Source organism: Homo sapiens, chromosome 10 (assembly GCF_000001405.40).
Source record: "Homo sapiens chromosome 10, GRCh38.p14 Primary Assembly".
Classification (NCBI taxonomy): Eukaryota; Metazoa; Chordata; class Mammalia; order Primates; family Hominidae; genus Homo; species Homo sapiens.
The window spans coordinates 13850458-13871804 of record NC_000010.11 but is presented as its reverse complement, the minus strand read 5'-3'; the positions used below and the strand labels follow the sequence as shown (position 1 = coordinate 13871804).

General features: G+C 43.6%; 1 protein-coding gene and 1 pseudogene across 3 annotated transcripts in view, besides 1 other annotated feature; one reads left to right on the top strand and one right to left on the bottom strand.

The window, feature by feature from the left end:
• Positions 1-21347, top strand: part of FRMD4A (FERM domain containing 4A) — a 687219-nt gene that overhangs the window by 459120 nt on the left and 206752 nt on the right. For all 3 annotated transcript variants that reach the window (NM_018027.5, NM_001318336.2, NM_001318337.2), the window contains one exon: positions 12893-12958. In NM_018027.5, coding sequence (NP_060497.3) covers positions 12893-12958 — 66 coding nt within the window. The remainder of the gene's footprint in view (positions 1-12892; positions 12959-21347) is intronic.
• Positions 354-1007: an enhancer, noted in NCBI's record as "H3K27ac-H3K4me1 hESC enhancer chr10:13912798-13913451 (GRCh37/hg19 assembly coordinates)". NCBI's record gives its function as "activates a minimal SCP1, AML or CMV promoter by ChIP-STARR-seq in naive H9 embryonic stem cells {active_cell/tissue: H9 hESC(naive)}" and the evidence as "EXISTENCE:reporter gene assay evidence [ECO:0000049][PMID:30033119]".
• Positions 630-1008, bottom strand: NUTF2P5 (nuclear transport factor 2 pseudogene 5; annotated as a pseudogene).

The following is a 21347-nucleotide window of genomic DNA, read 5'->3' as shown; positions in this document are numbered from 1 at the left end:
AGTGGGATGTGTGCCTGGAGCCTCCTTCCCACGCTTGGCATCCCCAGCAGTCCACTGAGTCTGCGAGATGCAAGAGGATCTAACAGCTGTTTAGAGCCCCCTGGCTGTCCCCCGTGCCCTTCTCTGCAGGCCAGGTCTGGAGAAGGCCTGGAGTGGCAGAGCAGGGAGAACCCGGCAGAGTCAGCGGCTTCCTCAGTCTTTTGTACAAAGCTAAACCTGGGGAAGGGGAAGGTGAGGTGGTCTTTATTTTTTTAAGGAAGATGTTCGTGGTTTTATTGTTTCATGAGGCATTGAAACGGATTCTGCACAAATCAGTATCTGTCCAGTGGGGTAGCTGGTTTCTCCTTCACTTCTTTGGGTTACTAGAGCAACTTGTCAGATTTTTTTTAAAAAGGAACAACCATTCCAAGGCATGCACTGTCACAACACAAACTCTTCCTGTCAGAGGCCGCTGGTCCGGTGTCCAGACATCATGCAGGACACCTTGGTGGCAACAGTGCACCGTGTCCGCCCCCACACAGCCCCGTGCATTTGTGTATAGTATCTGGTGTGTCTGCAGAAGCGTGAATAGTATTGGGAAGAGGAGGGAGAAAGAAACAGCGTGAGTGCCTGGCTGGGAGGAGGTCAGTGAAGTCGTGCAGGGCAGGCCTGAACATGTCTGTCATCAGGGCGAACCCAAGCATCCATTATGTCCTTTCATAGGAACATCTGGTGGAGCCCCATAATGGGGTCTTCATTGGCATTTGGCTGGCTCACAAGCATGCTGAGGATGCAGTTAGCTGGTGTGGGCTGACGGTCCTGCACCATGATGCTATGCTGGATTTTGTGGAACAGAAGGCTGGATGGCTTCTTCACAATGGCAGCTTTCCCCTCGAGCTGCTCTCCTTCCCGCCTAAGGCGTGATATGTCAATGTAAATTGTGCTGAGTTGAGTTCTATTGTTATAGAACTCAATAACTGAACGTTGAATGAAGATGGGTCCAGTCATCTCCCACATGGGCTTGCCTCCCGTTCTGGAGTGTCCTCAGCCTCACTGAGACCCAGGAGCTGGCATGATGGCAGTGGCGGCAACCCAGCACGGTCTTGATGTTAGGTGTCCTAGCAGGAGGGGAGGGGAGGGGAGGACGGAGCGTGACAGCCCAGGGTAGCTGCCAGATAGTGCTGTGGACCTGCCTCTCAGGAGGAGAAGGTGTGTGGCATCTTTCTCTCAAGCCAGTAATCAGCAAGAAACAGGACCACGGCTCCTTGGGTCACCTGTGTCCCCAGCACCGGGCTGAATGCATGGCGTAGAGGAGACCACAGCGATGGGCTTTGGACTTTGAGTGAAAAATGTGCCTCCAAGCAAAGGTAACAGCATGGGCCAGGCCCCACGGCAAGGGAGAGGATGGTCCTTGGAGGAACAGACTCTAAAAGTCCCAGGTGGCCCACTCTTGAAACTGAGAGGAGCGATGGGAAGGAGAGTATTTGAAAAAAAGGGATCTGGTGAGGTGAGGCCGATGTCAGAGAGCCTGTTATCCATGTTCAGACAGTCGTCTTTCACAGATGCTAGCAGCAATATGTAAAGAAGGAAGAATCTCACTCTGCACCCACAGCAGGACTGGCCTCTGGGGCCTTCAGGCCTCTGTCCAGATCTGCCCAAGGGCTGCTCTCTGCCACCCATCTCTGTTCCCATTAGCCTCTGCCTCTGTTCAGACTGCACAGCACTCCCTCTCTGATCCAGATTCCCAGCTCCCTTTCCTTTGTAAGGATTAGGCTCTATTCCCTTCCCCAGCCCCTCTCCTAATAATAATGATTAATAATAATAATACAATCCAGTGCTCAGTAGGATTAAGGCTCTGTAGCTCTTCAGAGACTCCGGTTGCTCCAGTTGCAGAACCAAAGATATCCGTGTTTCCAGGCTTGGATGAAAAGTAAAACCTGCAGTTGTGTTGTAAATGAGGGCTTGTGAATAAATCTTCCTAATTGTGTGTATTTCCGGTAGAATAGTGGGTTAAAATCCTGATAATGTACTCGAAATGGAGGTAAAGAAAATCCCGTTTTCAGAAAACACTCTAACAGTGGCAGAACCTAGGAGGAAACAGGTTCCTCCAAATTTTAGGGGTCCAGCTAGTTGGATGTCACCCAGAAAGCGCTGCTGCCCCCCAGGAGCCTGGAGTTCTTTGTACACCTGCCCGCCACCTGTGAGCGGCTTCTGCCCTGTGCTCCCCAGTATGGTGTCCATGGTGCAGGACCTAATTCTGGGGCCCATGCCATTGCGTCTTTCAGCGTCCATCTGCCCTTGTCATTGTAGTCAGAGCGTTGGCTGCCAGGCGTGAGGAGGGTGATTGTGGACCCGCCCCAGCGGAATCTTGGCCTTCCACATCTGTCGCACCTGTCCATCATTCACGCCAGTAGCTTGTTTGGTTGGAAGGTGGAAAGTGCACCCACCTCCCCACATCACACAACTGAGCTGTGGGTAGGAGTTCCTCTTCAGCGAGATGCCATAACGCCCTCAGGAGAGCTTCCTGTTGTACCAGCCTCTTACCTGCCTGGGTCCACGCCTCATCGTCTACACTTTAGGCCCAGAGACTGATTATTAATGTTTTCTGACACGCTGCCCTGTAGCATTCATGTGGAGATGGTTCATTGCTCGGCCTGGAGGACTTGTGGCTTGAATCACATAGACCGCTGGGTCCCCACACCCGGACTTCTCTTTTGCATGATCAGAGAAAACCGAATTTCCTTTTGCTGCATGAGCAGCAGCAGCAGCGTCCCTAGGATGAGCTTTCCAAAGATCCGCAAGTAAAACGCCAGCCCGGGTTATGACTTGAAGTGCAAACCCGCAGAGGGTTGAGCTTTGAAGAATGCATTGCTATTTCCATTTTCTATTACATCAATATTGTCATGTTAATTTGTTTCTAATAGAGCCACTCACTTAATAACTTCCATCTGGTGTATAAGCTGCAGCTGTATCCAGCCACCAAGAACCTGAAGGACACACCTGCATGTGTTTTGTTTTTTGTTTTTTGAGACAGGATCTCACTCGGTTGCCCAGGCGGGAGTGCAGTGGCCTGATCTCAGTTCACTGCAACTTCTGCCTCTTGGGCTCAGGCAATCCTCCCACCTCAGCCTCCCGAGTAGCTGGGACTATAGGCACACACCGCCATGCCCTGCTAATTTTCATATTGTTGTTTTTGGGTTTTGCCATGTTGCCCAGGCAGGTCTCAAACTCCTGAGCTCAAATGATCCTCCTGCCTCTGCTTCCCAAAGTGCTGGCATTACAGTAGTGAGCCGCCGTGCCTGGCCACACCTGCGTATGTTTTTTTAAATCCAGGAGAGTCACAATAAAGACAGGTGGAATCGTTTGCCAGAGGTCATAGAGCAAAATAGGAACAAGGTCATCCTCTCTGAATGAGGCTTCTGGTGTCTCATGCCTGTGTCTCCTTTCCTTCCATCGTCATCTTACTTCAATATGGTATCACTTGAGAACCGAACAAAAGTAAGCTTGAGATAAACCAGAGGGAAAAGTTATCATAAAAATCATATTACAATGATAATAAAAATGGTTATATAAAATTTTTATAAAATAAAAATTTGTATTAAAAATTTTATTAAAAAATTACAATCAACCTTTGGCCTTTAAAGGTTTTGGGTAGATCCCACTTGCCCACTTTTGTAATAAGTGTTATTTCCCTGGTATAAGTGAAGTGTGGACAGGGAATTGATGAATTTTATTTTTGAGATGGGGTCTCACTATGTTGCCCAGGCTGGTCTCGAACTCCTGGGCTCAAGCAATCCTTCTGCCTTAGCCTCCTAGGTAGCTGGGATTACAGGGGTGAGCCACCATGCCCAGATAGGTGAATTAATAAACATATATAGTATTTATTATATATATATTATTTATTATATATTATATTATATATATTATTTATTGTATATTATATATTATTTATTATATATTACATTATATATTATATTATGTATTATTTATTATATATTATATATTATATTATGTATTATTTATTATATATTATATTATATATTTATTATATATCATATTATATTATATATTATATATTATATTATATGTTATTTATTATATATTATATTATATGTTATTTATTATATATTATATTATATATATTTATTATATATTATATTATATATTATATATTTATTATGTATTATATATCATAATTATATCATATACATTATAATAATATATAATATATATTATTTTATATATATTACATATATATCTATATGGGCTGAAAGTGGTGGCTCACATCTGTAATCCCAGAACTTTGGGAGGCTGTGGTGGGAAGATCACTTGAGCCCAGGAGTTCAAGAGCAGCCTGGACAACATGGCGAGTCCCCATATCTACAAAAAATACAAAAATTAACCCTGTGTGGAGATTTGCGTCTGTAATCCCAGCTACTTGGGAGGCTGAGGTGGGAGAATCTCTTGAGCCCCAGGAAGGCAGAGGTTGCAGTGAGCTGTGATCATGCCACTGAACTCCAGCTGGGACCACGGAGTGAGACCCTGTTTCAAAAACATAAAACAAAAAAACAAACAAAAAATATGATTGTGTATATTTGAAGTTTACATCATAACGCTATTGGATACCCATAGATGTGTAGATACATACAGAACCACAGTAGATAAGGAGGATGAACAAGTCTAGAGATGTAATGTACAACATGAGGACTAAAGTTAAAATTGTATTGTGTTAGGGTTTTTTGTTACATAAATAGATTTTAGCTGCTCTAGTCCCACAAAAAAAGTAACCATGTGAGATGATAGACATATTAACTGACTCCACTGTAGTAACCATTACACTATCTGTATGTATCTAATTTTTTTGATTGTTTGTTTTTTGAGACAGAGTTTCACTCTGTTGCCCAGGCTGGAGTGCAATGGCTGGATCTCAGCTCACTGCAACCTCCGCCTCCCAGGTTCAAGTGATTCTCCTGCCTCATCCTCCCCAGTAGTTGGGATTACAGGTGCCAACATACCTAGCTAATTTTTGTATTTTTAGTAGAGAAGAGGTTTCACCATGTTGGCCAAGCTGATCTTGACCTCAAGTGATCTGCCCACCTCGGCCTCCCAAAGCGCTGGGATTACAGGGCAGGGATTAATGTTTTAACAGATTTTAAATTGCCTGAAGTCCTTTCTTTCCATGTGTGTATTTCCCGTAAATTTCTTGAGGTTGCTGTAACTGCGTGACATTCATTCATCTCCTCCTGGCTGTGATGTGCTTTATGATGATTGAGATTTTGTGGTCTTGCAATGTTTGGGTACCTAGATTGGACTTTGAGTCTTCACTTTTCTGTGAAGGAAACTGAAGTGGAGAGAAGGATGTGTCTCTTGAGGTGACCCAGTACCCGGGAGCACCAACAATGACTTGTGCCGGGAAGTTGTAGTCATGGCCTTGGAATTTCCTTCTGAGCCACACAACAGCCTGGGTCAGAGGTCAGATCATGAGGGGCTGCTGTCCCGCATCCGACATCCTCAGGGTGTCCTGTGGTTTAAGGGACTGTGCTCGGGGAAGACGTGCTGTCAGCGGTAAGTCACTGGTAGGGCCTTGGCTTTTGAAATCTAAATTTTCTGTCTGATGACTAAGTTTTAAAGGATAGCATTTCAGGTGGTTTGGGGAGTATTGGTAATTTTCCTAACTGAAGCATATCTTGGAAGGTTGTTTGTTTTGTGCAATTCTAGTGAGTCATTAATATTGCTGATTTTAATGTCTTGTAAATTTATTGTCTCAAAAATGAATATCAGAAACAACGTGGTGGCTTGCTTTTCACGGGGATGTCAACGAGTAGGCAATTGGTAACTAGACTAAAAAAATGTTTTGGCAGGCCTGTGAACATCTCACTAAACAGCTCTCCTCCCTCACCGTACCTTCCCTCAGCCCCGCCCCACAGTGTCTTCCCTGAAATAGTTTCAGTGTAAATTAGCCTCAGGAAACTAAGAGAATACAGGTGTCAATTGACTATTTTTTTACTTTTTGTTTTAAAAAACACATGTTTTTTTCTGGGTTCAGGATCAATTTGCACAACTGCATTACATTTCTATAAAAATGCTCTAGGCCAGGCACGGTGGCTCATGCTTGTAATCCCAGCACTTTGGGAGGCTAAGGTGGGGAGGGTCACTGGAGTCCAAGAATTTACATAGTGAGACGTGTCTCTACAAAAAATAAACACAGTTAGCTGGGCATGGTGGTGTGTGCCTGTAGTCCCAGATACTCAGGAGGCTGAGGTGGGAGGATCGCTTGAGCCTGGGAGGTTGAAGCTGCAGTGAGCTATGATAGCACCAACGCACTCCAGCCTAGGAGACAGAGCAAAACCCTGTCTATAAAAATAAATAAAATAAAATAAAATAAAATAAAATAAAATAAAATAAAATAAAATAAAACAAATAAAATAAATAAAATAAAGTAAGCCTGATAGTATCTACCTCCTGTCCTACAAGGACTATGGGTTCAACACATATTATTTCCAAAACCATACAACTGATAATAATTAACAGCTAACGTTATGATGAGTATATACTTCGTACCAGGTACAGCACTAAGAAATTTCCAAACATTACTTAATTTAATCATTGCAGGATTCCTAAGAGGTAGACGCTATTTTATCCCTCTTGTACAGACAAGGAACAAGGCTTAAAAAGATGAGGTAAGCTGGTCATGTTGGATCACTCCTGTAATTCCAGTGCTTGTCTGGGAGGCCAAGGCAGGAGGATCAATTGAGCCCAGGAGGTTGAGGCTGCAGTGAGCCAAGATCACACCATTGCACACCAGCCTGGACAACAGAGCAAGACCCTTTCTCAAAAAAATAAATAAAAACCCAAATGAAACAAAAACATTCTAAACAGTGGAACTAGGATTCTTTCTTCTCAGCTCCTCCTGCACAGGCATATACCATGGCATAGAAATTATTTTGCAGGCCAGGTGCGGTGGCTCACACCTGTAATTGCATCATTTTGGGAGGCCAAGGCGGGTGGATCACCTGAGGTCAGGAGTTCGAGACCAGCCTGGCCAACATGGTGAAACCCCATCTCTACCAAAAATGCAAAAAATTAGCCTGGCATGGTGGCGGGTGCCTATAATCCCAGCTACTCGGGAGGCTGAGGCAGGAGAATCGCATGAACTCAGGAGGCAGAAGTTGCAGTGAGCCATGATCGTGCCACTTCACTCCAGCCTGAGTGACAGAGGGAGACACTGGCTCAAAAAAAAAAAAAAAAGAAAGAAAGAAGGAAGAAGAAATTATTTTGCAAAGGGCAAGAAAGAAAAGGGAGACAGAGGACATCAACAAGTGGCTAAACCAAAAAGACACAGAGGAAAGAAAGGTGGTATGTTGAGAAAAGGGTGATAGGAAGCAATACATGCAAATAGGGTTGACTTTTTTTTGAATTCAAAGAGCAACTATTCTCAGTAAGACATATTTGGTTTTCTTTTCTTTTTTTCTTTTTTTTTTTTTTTTGACTCAAGATGTTTGCACTGTCTTTAAGAAATGGCTTTGCTATGGCGGGGTGTGGTGGCTCATGCCTATAATCCTAGCACTTTGGGAGGCCAAGGCGGGAAGATCACGTGAGGCCAGGAGTTCGAGACCAGCCTGGCCAACGTGGTGAAACCCCGTCTCTACTAAAAATACAAAAATTACAGGAGCGTGTTGGCAGGCACCTGTAATCCCAGCTACTCGGGAGGCTGAGGCAGGAGAATCGCTTGAACCCGGGAGGTGGAGGTTGCAGTGAGCCGAGATCATGCCACTGCACTCCAGCCTGGGCAACAAAATGAGACTCCATCTCACAAAGAGAGAGAGAGAGAAAGAAAGAGAGAGAGAGAAAAGACTTTGCCAAACGTTAAATTCTATTACTTTCCGTGTCCCTGTGTGGTGTGGGCAGCAGAATGTTCTGAAGTTGCTGTCTTATGACTGTTTCCAATCTAAGCCTAAACCAGAAAAATTAAATTCCAACTCTGATCTGGGTACTCTGCACCTCTCCAAATAGGGTCACTCATCTTTCTAGATAAAGTTTCTTTTTTACACTTTTTTTAACTGAAAAAAAAAGTAACATATTAAGTCATATTTGGGTGAGGTGGAGTGGTGTAAACCACCCAGAAGCCTAAAGCGTTGCACATCTACTCCTATATATATATTTTTTTGCCTCTTAATCCCTGTCCACGTGCATGACAATTAGGATACGTATCATTTGTTTTTTATTTTTATTTTTTGAGACAGGGTCACACTCTGTCACCCAGGGTAGAATACAGTGGCGCAATCTTGGCTCACTGCAACCACCACCTCCTGGGTTCAAGCAATTCTAGTGCCTCAGCCTCCCAAGTAGCTGGGACTACAGGCGTGCACCACCATGCCCGGCTAATTTTTTTTTTTTTGTATTTTTAGTAGAGACAGGGTTTTGCCATGTTGCCCAGGTTGGTCCCTAACTCCTGAGCTGAGGCAATCCACCTGCCTCGGCCTCCCAAAGGGCTAGGATTACAGGCGTGAGCCACCACGCCAGGCCAGGATACATATCAGTGATAGTCTGCTGTGGTCACTGAAGCTAGTATCATAAATGTGTTTACATGTTTCTGCACAGTCTTCATGTCAGAGTGTACCTTAGCAGCAAAGTTGGATAAATTGGGGCAGACACTTCACTTTCAAAAGAACACTTTTTCGTATTTCCTTTAGAATCACAGGGCACTTGGCAGGCCTCTGCTTGGGCTAGAATTGTATGGTAGCAAGGCAGTTGATTATTGGAATGGTTGCCAGTTGACATCTATGAGAAGCCTTGTTCTCTAAAGGATTTCCTTTGAGGGTGATGCCAGGGCTCCCGTAGTGTCTGAACAGCTGGAAATGAAAAAAAAAAGAAACAAAAAAAAAAACAAAACAGAACAAAACAAGGGAAAGCAGTATTATTTCACAATTGTTAGTATTGAAAAGAAAACTTCAGAGTGCCTGGCAAGCCAGACAAAGCTACAGATGTCAATTCTTTCTATGTACACACCCAGAATGGTGAAGTTTTCTGAACTGATGATAAGAACAGGATACTCTAATCTTACTTGAATATGGAACAACAGGCAGGTGCTCCCTTTTGAAAAATAAACCACAGCAGTGCTGTCAAAAGAAAGCTGTACCTTCAAAAACATGATGATTCAAAGGTGAGTCTGTTTAGACACTTCTCTGTGCTGTTTGCAGAGACATTTTGCTTTCTACAGGGAGGCATTAAAATACGGAGCATGTTTGTAAATTTCCTAGGAATTACTGTTGAGAAGAGGAAAGAAATTGGAAGACCTAGGGTGGATACTAACATCATGATAAATAGTTACTTCCTTAAATTGCTGAGCAGATAAGGTGAGATTGTTTTATGTAATGAGGATTATTTTTTTCAGATGAAAATGAGAACCTCAGGGAAGACCTTTAAGTGTGAGTGTGAACTTTGTGAGCTTGGAAATATTTCGAGAAAATGATACATTTCATCTTCTTTATTACTGCGATTAAAACTTTATTTGATCCAATAATGTCTTTCAGATACCAATTTGTTTTCATAAAATTTATTAGACTGTGATTGAGTAACTCAAGAGCATGTTTATACCCTTAACCTTTTATGATAAAACGAAGCTCAGAACTGTTTTATAGATGCAGAAAACAAACAGCATTTCTTTCTTAAAACTCTCCCCTATTCTCTGTCGAGACTTTTCTCAAATCTATGATTAAACTTTTGAAAGAATTTAACATAACTTTCTGAATGTGATACCATTTTCCTTCTTAAAACTTTTACTCTATTGACCTTAGGTTCTTTCCAATGAGAACTGAATCAGCGTAGCTCGAAATTTTTATCTAAAGTACCTGTGCAATTGCTATTATCTGCCCTACTGAAACTTGAAATTAACATTTCTAGTGTACTTTTTTGATGAAGGAATCATTTATACATTTTGGTAAAGCAGCAGCTATTTTAGTCTAATTTAAAATTGTAATGGCTTTCATTGAACTTAGGGAATGATTGAAAGGAAGCTGATGGATTTTTAAAAATTAAGTCAATCAGTGAAGATGCTTACTCTGTGCAAGGTTGATGGATTCTAATAGGACTTGAGCCCATTTTCCCACTAAGACAATTAACACCTGAAGTTAGGGGTTCAACGGGTGAATAAGGACTTTGCATAGACTCATCAAATGTCCACAGCTGCCTGCTTTGACTTGTATGTGCGGAATGGCAAGGCTTTGGATTGAAGTTTTTCCTCTGTGTTTAATCTGTTCGTTGGAGTGTTTAGGAGTATGTGAAACTTTTCTTGATTTTTCTCAGAGCTGGGGGCTGCTAAGTCATTGTTATAACTCAGAATCAAGAGACATTGAGATTAGCCCCCATGTAAGCAGGACATGCTATGTTGTTTTAGATCCCAAAACAAGGAAAACCCGACTTGATGGAAATATGGGATGACTTCTTTTGAGGAAGGAATAAGATAATTTTCTCATAGGATTTCATGACAGCTTTGGATATGTTGGTGATAAGTGAATAATCCCTGTTGAACCAGAAGAGAAGAGACTATCTTTTCTTGTTATTTGTTTAATCTTGCCGTACCTGCAAATACATTGGGGGTTAGGGCTTCACCATATGAGTTTTAGGGGAACACAATCCAGTCCATAACTCCTGGTCTCCAGGAGCTCAGGGTCGAGGAGAGGGTCACGAAGGACGCAGGGTGGCTGGCCACTGGGTGGGACTGAGCCGTGAGTGCAGTAGGCACCTTCGGCCCGCGACTGTGCTGCCACCTGCTTCCATTTGCAGAGACGCTCATTCTCATCAGGATAGCAGTTCCAAACCTAACAGGCCTTGAGAAATGTCAGCGTTATTCTTAGCCTGGAGAGTTGGTACGTCCCGTGGCGCATGAGAGAAACGAGACTGCTCTGTAGTCCCAGCTACTCAGGAGGCTGAGGTGGGAGTATCGCTAGAGCCTGGGAAGTGGAGGTTGCAGTGAGTTAAGATCATACCACTGCACCCCAGCCTGGACAACAGAGCAAGACTCTGTCTAAAAAAAAATTAAATTAAAACAAGAGCTCCCTTAGGGCCAGGCACTGTGCTAAGTGTGTAAAGGCAAGATTGTGTCTCATCTGAGACTGTCTTTTTTATCTTTCCTTGAGGAAAGATTTATGAGAAGGACCCTCATGGCTGGACAAGGAGACAGGGCCAGGATCTACTGATGCGCATCCTTTCTTTAGATCTGCTTAAAGCGGCCGGTTAGCCACTAAATACAGGGGAAAAGAACTGTATTTAATGGGGACTATACAGTCATATAAAATAGGCATTGAGTTCTCTAAAGGATTTCCTCTAAAGAAATACAAGGAAGGAAACTTATGTGTCATCTGGTCCAGAGAGGAGCGTTGGAGCTATTTCATACTAGCCTGGGAGAGCCAATTGCTACATTTTCAGGAATGTGGGGTGCCAATTATAAAGCATAGCCATTGTTAAAATGAAATTATGTACACATGCTTAAACACATGGTGTTAACAAACAAAGATAATAAAAATCTATCCCTTCCTAATTATTTTTATGGCACTTAACTGTTTTCTATGAGCTTGAGGCTATGTTTGTCTATCGTGTCTGTATGTTGGAATTACTAGCAGTGTTGTCATGACAGTGGCTTGAAATCGGACGCAGTAAAGGTATTTAGAGTGCAGCAAGACAGTTTATGGTTAGGACAGTCACCAGTTGACATCCATGAGAAGGCTTGTTCTTCAAAGGATTTCCTTTGAGGGTGATGCCAGGCTCCAGCAAATGCTACAAATCAGGCTTTTTCCTTCCAGAAAGCCAGTTGTTAAATATTCACCAGCACCCCACTGGGCTCGGCCCATTTATTTTTGGATATGAGACAGGGGCATGGAGACGAACGGTAACTTGTCCAGAGTCCTGCAGCCCCTTGTAAGCAGCAGGACCAACACTAGACTTGGGTCTCCCAGGCTTCCTGTTATACCACTCAGAGATTTCAGTCCTGAAAGGCACAAGGGACGGGGTTGGATTTGCCTGTGGGTTCATATCGCCAGTGCTTTTCTATTATTGGTGACAGCGCTGTAGGGAATCAGGTCATACACAAGGAGGGGGCCGATTAACTAACACAGAAATCAAATTCATTGCCAGGTGGGTGGTCATCTGCTTTCTGGTTACCAGCAAGTGGGATAAATGAAGAGGAGACAGAGATTGGATCCTGAGCTGTGTCCCTAATGCATGCGGGTACAATTATTGAATGGAAGAATAAGTGAAGAATGAACAACACCCACCACCCCTGAGAATATGTTATATATATATTTGCTAATTTATTTTACATCTCCCTTATTAGAATATAAGCTCCATGAGGATGGGAACTTTGTCTTGTGTGCTGTGGTACACCCAGCTCCCAGAAAAGTGCCTGGCATATAGAAAGTGCTCAATTGATATTTTCTTTTTTTTGAAAGGGAGTTTTGCTCTTGTTGCCCAGGCTGGAGTGCAGTGGCGCGATCTCGGCTCACTGCAACCTCCACCTCCTGGGTTCAAGCGATTCTCCTGCCTCAGCCTCCCAAGTAGCTGGGATTACAGGTATGCACCACCACGCCCGGCTAATTTTGTATTTTTAGTAGAGACGGGGTTTCTCCATGTTAGTCAGGCTCCAGGTTGGTCTCAAACTCCTGACCTCAGGTGATCCGCCCACCTTGGCCTCCTAAAGTACTGGGATTACAGGCGTGAGCCACCGCGCCCGGCCTCAATAGATATTTTTGAATGAATGAATGAACTGATCCTTCCAACTCCTGGCATTATACAGTGCCGACTCCCAGAGGAAGTTTTGCCCAGAGGAATATGCCTGGCAGAGTGCAGCGTCGGCGACCCTCTAACCCTTTGTCTGGCTGCTAGACTCTCAGTGACTACCATTTCTCTTCCCTCTTAGATGACGGAGGGCCGCCGATGTCAAGTACATCTTCTTGATGACAGGAAGCTGGAACTCCTAGTACAGGTAAATCGCTTTTGGTCAACTTTCTGAGTTTCTTTGGTGACTGATGTGGTTTCAGACCTTGATCCAGCTGGGGATGAAGGGGGATTTGGTAAACTGTTTTTAAATCTCTGTTAATATCTGTGAGAGAATGACTAGGACCCACCAGGGTGTTTTGTGTGTGTGCTATTTTGGTTGTATCTGTACACCAGCCTAAGGCATCCAAGGCCAGATGTACATCTACCCTATTGTTACAAATTTCTAGAAAAGGAAATTCCACAATGCCCTTAGCTATTCTTTCTGCCTGGAAGGAGTTAACTACAATGTAACCTAAGTAACTCTTGCTGTAACTAAAATTGATTTAGTCTTCCTTGCTCAGAGGGGATAGAAAAAGGTTTGGTTCTTTTTGTTTGTTTTTTTGTTTTGTTTTGTTTTGAGACAGAGTCTCGCTCTTGTTGCCCAGACTGAAGTGCAGTGGCACGATCTCAGCTCACTGCAACCTCTGCCTCCCAGGTTCAAGCGATTCTCCTGCCTCAGCCTCCCAAGTAGCTGGGATTACAGGCATGTGCCACCATTCCTGGCTAATTTTTTATATTTTTAGTTGAGACGGGGTTTCTCCATGCTGGTCAGACTGGTCTGGAACTCCTGACCTCAGGTGATCTGCCTGCCTCGGCCTCCCAAAGTGCTGGGATTATAGACATGAGCCACTGTGCCTGGCCTAAAGGTTTGTTCTTTTCTTTTCCAGTTGAGATTAAAGAGGAACAATCTCTGTACTCGGTCCTCTTTCTAAGTGCTAAGCGACCCCCTTCTTACCCCATCTCATGAGTTGACATTGGCATCACTTGTGAGCATCTGGAGAAACTGAGATGCAGGAAATCAATCAATTCCAACTAAGAACACATCAGTGTCAGCAAAATTGGAGAAGTAATTGGAATCATAGACCCTCACCTTTTTCAACTTGTTCTTAAACAGACCATTGTTTGACCCAAAGCTCTAAAGAATGGTGTCTCCAACTCTGACTTTAAAAGTTTACCATTCCAGATCTGTTGTTCAATGCCAATTTTTATTACATTTGCTTGCTGTTTATTCTTAGATGTCTATCTCCAAGTCCTAGAGCATTGTGTCTCATTCTCTATCACATTTTGTTGTGAGGAAGCTGCAGTTCATCAGTGAGTTGAGAGGATGCCATCTGCTCATGGGGGAAGTGATGCTACTTCGAAGGGGAAACTCGCATGCAGACACTTTCGTCTTGCGTTGCCTTGTACATGCTGCTTGGAATTGAAAATGTTCAAACTGCTGACTTTGAGTGAATACTTTTAATAGGATTCAAATGATAAAGGCTTTATAAATGCAATATAGGAAACAGAAAATAGGAAAAAGGCTCATAAGCACATGACACTAATTCAAGTGTTGTTCCCTTTTTGGTGGATTTCTTTCCAGCATTTTTCATATTTATATTTCTTGCATGGCTGTAATCATAGTACATGTATAATTCTACATATCTTATTTTTCCTTTTCCACTTACCATTGTCTTTCGCTAACATTTTCTAAGTTATGGTAATACTGTAAATTGTCATTCTCCTGAACAGCTGCATAAATTCTAGAAATTGATATACCATTATTATCTAATCATTTCCCCATTTGAGTATATTTAAGGGATTTAAAAAAAAAAATTTTACCACTATTACAAGTAAATGCTGTGATTAACATATCCCTATATATAGGGTTCTCCTGCATTTTAGATTACGGCTGTTTTAGGCTAGACTCTATGGCCTAAAGTCATTAAAAGTCAAATTTGTGGTTTGAATTTGGAAGAATGAGGCAATAAAGGGAAACCATCAAATTGAGTGAGATCTCGTTAATTAGCAGAATCGTTAACTGAGAAACATTTGAAGCTTCAAATTGCCAAGACTCAGTGCGAAGAGTTTATAGGCGAGTGGTCTGGTGTATTTTACATGCTTTTCCTGAATCAAAGCTTGGAGGTTTAGAAAGAAGCCACCTTCTGGAATAGGAAATGAGACCTCAAATGGCAGTTTAGAAACTATCTCTTGGCCAGCCTGCTTTCAGAAAAAAATAGATTTAATTACTGATGTGTGCAGTTTGGGAACAGTTGTCCTCAACCCTATAAAATCAAGAAAATGTTGAATTAGGCGAACGAGAGAAGTTCATGTTCTTTCCACTGCTTTATAGAACAGGCTTCCTGTGTTATTCTCTCTTCCTAGAACACGCTCCTTCCCACACCCCCGCGCCCTGGACCTGGCTGGTCTCTCTTAGGTCTTTACATCACAAATTGGAAGACACCCTCCACCAAGGCTTTCCCTGACCCCCTCCGCCTAGTCTGTACTGCGTTTCTTTCTTATGACATGGCCACACCTCGCTGTGATTGGTTGTGTACTTGTTATCACTTCCTGGAGCCCCCAACAGTTTGAGGGCTAGATCTGTGTCTCCATCATGGTGTATCCCCAGTACCTAGCCCAGGGTCAGGCACATAATGTCACTAAATAAAGACTTGTTGAATGAAAGAATGGACAAACCTAAGATGTCTTGACATGACTTCCCCCAAAGACTTCTTGCCAGAGTACCAGTTGCTTCACAGAGGATTTAGCTTAACACACACACACACACACACACACACACACACACACACACACACTTGCACAAAATCCATCTATAGATACACACACTATCTACCTATACATAGATACACACACAATCTATCTACACACTGAGAGATATACACACTACCTATACATAGATAGATACACGCACTATTTATCTAGGCATTGATAGTGCGTGTATCTATGTATACATAGATAGATAGATAGATAGATAGATAGATAGATAGATAGATAGATAGTATTTGTGTGTGGTAAGCTAAATACATATATATATTTATATTTATATATATGGAAAGGTTCTAAATTAATTGCAGAATGGGCTTTAGCAAAACTTGGAGAAACAAAATTAAAACTACTGAATGAAAGGCAGCTTAAATCTATCACTCTTTTTTTTCTCCTCTGCAAAATTCTGTTGCCCAGGATTCTATCTGTTGGGCAGTATCCTTTCTAAAGGGAATCTGGATTCTCTAGCTCATCTGGACCCACCTCTAGGTTTTTAATAAAACATTTGACCTAAACTATTTCATATTTTACATTCAGAGAGTGGTAGCCTTCAGGTTCATTTATACTTTAGTCATCAAAATATATTAAACACTGAGACTGATATTGTTAAGAATAATTTCAGAACATTTGTAATAAGCCTTAGACAAAGCAATGCCTTTCCTGATCTTTTGACCTGGAGCTGTAGAAATGGGGATGGGTGGGAAAGACACCTACATTGACCTGACAAGGTTTGTAACATGGAGAGTCAGGTTTAGAGCAAGTGTTTCTCTCCCCCAGAGAAGTAAATGGGTGTGCATGAGGGTGGCTGACTGAAAGATATTAATAAGATGGGGCAGATTGGGGAGGTTAGTTTTTACCCACTATGAGGATAGCATACTCATCAAAGGCTATACCTCAGATCTTCAGACACAGAGGAGCTTCTATGGCATCAGTGTTGGGCGAGAAAGCTGACGGCATCCAAACCGACTCCCCATTTGCCTCTTGCCAGGAGGATGCAGTAAGCAGACAACCACACAGATAATTTCATGCAGCACTGTAAACTCGGCCACTCCGAGCATAACATTTCCCTTCTTTGGGTTGCAGAGAAAAAATGCCTGTCATCCTAATGTTTCATGCTTATTCCATATAGCACTTTGAGATTACCAAGTGAAATCTGTGCTTCCAAATCCTCTATTGCTCTGAGTAGATCATACGTTACTCACAGTAGGGGAGGGCAAACAGTCAAGAGTGACATACTAGGAATTAATATTTGAGACGCTCATCCCTAAATCCACAGGCAATTTCCTGACACCCACGTCTTTACCAGGTAGCTCCTTAAGTCCTGAAATTCCACTTAAGAGCAGCTGGAAGGTGACGTGAGCATTCAGCCCCAGAGCATGCCTGCAGCCTTGGTTGTGGACACATGCAGGTTGCATAGACAGATTGCCCTGCAGTTCAGCCCACAGACAGCATCTTCTGCTCTGTCTTCCAAAATTGTTTCCACCAGTTGGAAATGTACTTTAAAAAAAGCCTTTATCAGGCCGGATGCAGTGGCTTACACCTGTAATCCCAGCACTTTGGGAGGCCAAGGAGAGTGGATCACTTGAGGTCAGGAGTTCGAGACCAGCCTGGCCAACATGGTGAAACCCTGCCTCTACTAAAAATACAAAAAAAAAAAAAAAAATAGCTCGGTGTGGTTGTGCACGCCTGTAATCCCAGCTACTTGGGAAGATGAGACAGGAGAATCACTTGAACCTGGGAGGCGGAGGTTGCAGTGAGCCAAGATCACACCACTGCACTCCAGCCTGGGCGACAGAGCAAGACTTTGTCCCCCACCTGAAAAAAAGAAAAAAAGCCTTCATCAAAATGAGAGGAGCCACCCTCATCGCAGTCTTGGAACCTTCTGGAGGACGCTATAGCCAGATATGGGGGGCGGAGCATGTTTTATGGTCAGCCGAACTCCCTAAGTCTCGTTGTCATATCCTTGCTCCTTGAAAATTATTTTCTTCATTTATTCTCTGACCCGAATGTATATTTGGGGGAGTATGTTGAGAGCAGAGAAAGGGAAGTGTGCTTTAGCCATAGTGAGAATGATTTAAGTAAGAATTTCCGGACAGTGAGAGTTGCTAGATGGGGTACAGGAAGCCGTTAGTAGGAAAGATTCTGGACTCTTTCTCTTGACCTTCATAAAAATAGAGTGGATTTTCACTAGAATGGAATGGCTGAGGTGTGGCCCTTCCTTATTTGGTTCTCTTGAGGCTTGTGAGACTGTAGATATCCTGTCTCACAGGGAGCCTGCCCAGTGCCAGAAAAACCGACCTGACCTTCTACTGCTAGACAGGCTTCGTTTCAGTGCTTCTCCCCATCACTTTAGATGAATGGTTGGCCGAATTTCTTCCCCATCCCCACTTTTTGGGTTTTTTTTTTTTTTTTTTTTTTTTGAGAGAGTCTTGCTCTATCGCCCAGGCTAGAGTGCAGTGGTGCAATCTTGGCTCACTGCAACCTCCACTTCCTGGGTTCAAACGATCTCCTGTCTCAGCCTCCCGAGTAGCTGGGACTACAGGCCTGCATCACCATGCCCAGCTACTTTTGTATTTTTAGTAGAGACAGGGTTGCGCCGTGTTGACGAGGCTGGTCTGGAATTCCTGACCTCAGGTGACCCACCCACAACAGCCTCCCACAAAGTGCTGGGATTACAGGTGTGAACCACCACACCTGGCCCCCACTTTTTTTTCAGGCAGGGTCTCGCTCTATCAACCAGCTGTGGTGCAGTGGTGCGATTACAGCTCACTGCAACCTCAACCTTCTGGGCTCAAGTGATCCTCCCATCTCAGCCTCTCCAGTAGCTGGGGCTAACAGATGTGCATTGCTAATTTTTTAAATTTTTAGAGAGACAGGGTCTCCCTCTGCTGCCCAGGCTGGTCTCCAACTCCAGATCCCAAGTGATTCTCCTGCCTTGGTCCTTTCCTTCTCAAAGTGTTAAGATGGCAGGCGTGAGCCACTGCCAACACGCCCGGCCCTTCTTCCCTTTGATGATAAGAGCTTTACACATAGGAGTGCTCTCCATCCCCTCAATTCTGCCACAGTGAACCTCGCACCTTGCTTTCTCCAGGGAGCTGCCGCATGATGTGAGTCTCCTTTCCAAGTTCCAAGCTGCCCTAGGATTTCCACATCTCTCCCCTCTGACCCAGTCCCTTAGTGGCCATTGGCAAGACATTTACAACTGTCCACTGTGTGCAAATAGAGGAACAAAGCGTCCCTATGATTCCAAGAAGTGGAGCAAACTGTGACTAGTCTGTGTTTTCTAAGGGAATTAAAGATAACAGTTAGATTATTGCCATGTCTTACCCAGGGCTCATAATCCTGAGATTATGAGGAGACATAATCTCCTCATAACCAAGACAGAAGCATTTGGAAAGATCTAAGCTGCACCTCGTGGTACAGTAGCCACCAGCCACATGTGGCCATTGAGCAAAATGTGGCCAGTGCAAATGGAGATGTATGCAAGTATAAATCACACGCCAGCTGTGTGCAAGCATAAATCACACGCCAGCTGTGAGCAAGTATAAATCACACACCAGCTTGTGAAGACTTCCTATGAAACTTAAGTAAAATGTCTTGTAAATAATTTTTGCCTTGGTGAGTCCGTGTTAAAATGATAATATTTTGGATATATTAAGATAAAATAAATATACAATAAATTTCACCTTTAAACTTTTTAAATATGGCTAAAAAAATTAAAATCTTGGTCCAGGTGTGGTGGCTCATGCCTGTAATCCCAGCACTTTGGGAGGCTGAGGTGGGCAGATCATGAGGTCAGGAGATCAAGACCATCCTGGCCAACATGCTGAAACCCTGTCTCTACCAGGCATGGTGGCGTGCGCCTGTAGTCCCAGCTACTCGGGAGGCTGAGGCAAGGGAATCACTTGAACCTGGGAGGTGGAAGTTGCAGTGAGTCGAGGTCACGCCACTGCACTCCAGCCCAGCAACAGAGCAAGACTCCATCTCAAAAAAAAAAAAATTAAAATCTTATATTGGGCTAACTTTTGTGGCTCACGTTGTATTTCTTTTGGATGGCTATTTCTAGAGCAGTAGGCCCAAACCTTTTGGCACCAGGGACTGGTTTCATGAAAGACAATTTTTCCACAGATGGGGTGTGGGAGGTATGGTTTCAGGATGATTCAAGCATATTACATTTATTGTGCACTTTATTTCCATGATTACTACATTGTAACATATAATGAAATAATTCTACAGCTCACCATAATGTCAAATCAGTGGGAGCCCTGAGCTTGTTTTCCTGCAACTAGATGGTCCCACATGTGAGTGATGGGCATCAGGCATTAGAATCTTTTTTTTTTTTTTAATTTTTGAGACAGAGTCTTGCTTTGTCACCAGGCTGGAGTGAAGTGGTGCAATCTCAGCTCACTGTAACCTTCGCCTCCTGAGTTCAAGCGATTCTCCTGCCTCAGCCTCCTGAGTGGCTGGGATTACAGGCAGGCGCCACCACACCCAACTAATTTTTGTATTTTTAGTAGAGACAGGGTTTCACCATGTTGGCCAGGACAGTCTCAATCTCCTGACCTCATGATCCACCCGCCTCGGCCTCCCAAAATGCTGGGATTACAGGTGTGAGCCACCACGCCTGGCCTAGATTCTTATAAGGAGTGTGCAAACTAGATCCCTCACGTGTATAGTTCACCGTAGGGTTTGGACTCCTGCGAGAATCTAATGCTGCTGCTGATCTGACAGGAGGTGGGGCTCAGGCAGTAATGCAAGCAATGGGGAGAGGCTATAAGTATAGGTGAAGCTTCTCTCGCTGCTCATCTCCTGCTGTGCAGCCCCATTCCTAACAGGCCATAGACTGGTACCAGTCCATGGCCCAGGGGTTGGGGATTCCTGCTATAGAAGATAGAAAACAATTTAAGCTAGAGAAAATATTATGAAGGCAATCGAATTGTTTGGGGTTACCCAGATATAATACTGGATGTTTGGCACAATAATGACTACATTTTACAATTCTTTTTCTTTTTCTTTTTCTTTTTTTGTTTTGTTTTGAGACGAAGTCTCACTCTGTCGCCCAGGCTGGAGTGCAGTGACGTGATCTCTGCTCACGGCAACCTCTGCCTCCCGGGTTCAAGTGATTTTCCCACCTCAGCCTCCAGAGTTGCTGGGATTACAGGCACCCGCCATCATGCCCGGCTAATTTTTGTGTGTTTGTAAAGACGGGATTTCACTGTGTTGGCCAGGCTTCTCTGAAACTCCTGATCTCAGGTGATCCACCCGCCTTGGCCTCCCAAAGTGCTGGGATTACAGGCATGAGCCACTACACCTGGCCTACAATTCTTTATAGAATTTATATGGAGCATATCTTATTTAATCCTCACAGTAACTGTGTAAAGTAGGTGCCAAGCAAACAGAAATTCAGAAAGATTAAATAACTTGCTCAAGGTCACGTAGCTAGTGAAGTATAGGTAGCTCGAGCATAGGTCCTCTGATAGTATAGCCCATTCTCTTTTCACTGCACCATAACCAGTATATATAATAAAAACCCAAGATTCACAAGATATGATCTATTAATAGTTCACCTGGAATATGCTCCTCTGCCAGCCCCTGACACCAGAGCCATAAACGATGGCAACCAAAGACTTCGAACCTTATCTCAGGTCTGCAATGGAAGATGGGCTTACCCAGGTCATTTCATTCCTGTGAACTCACTTCCTAACCTATCTGGGAAAGCCTGAAACATGTGACACATCCTCATGAAGGACTTGTGCGTCCTGCGTAAGTCTCGGGCTAGCAGGTGTGGAAGA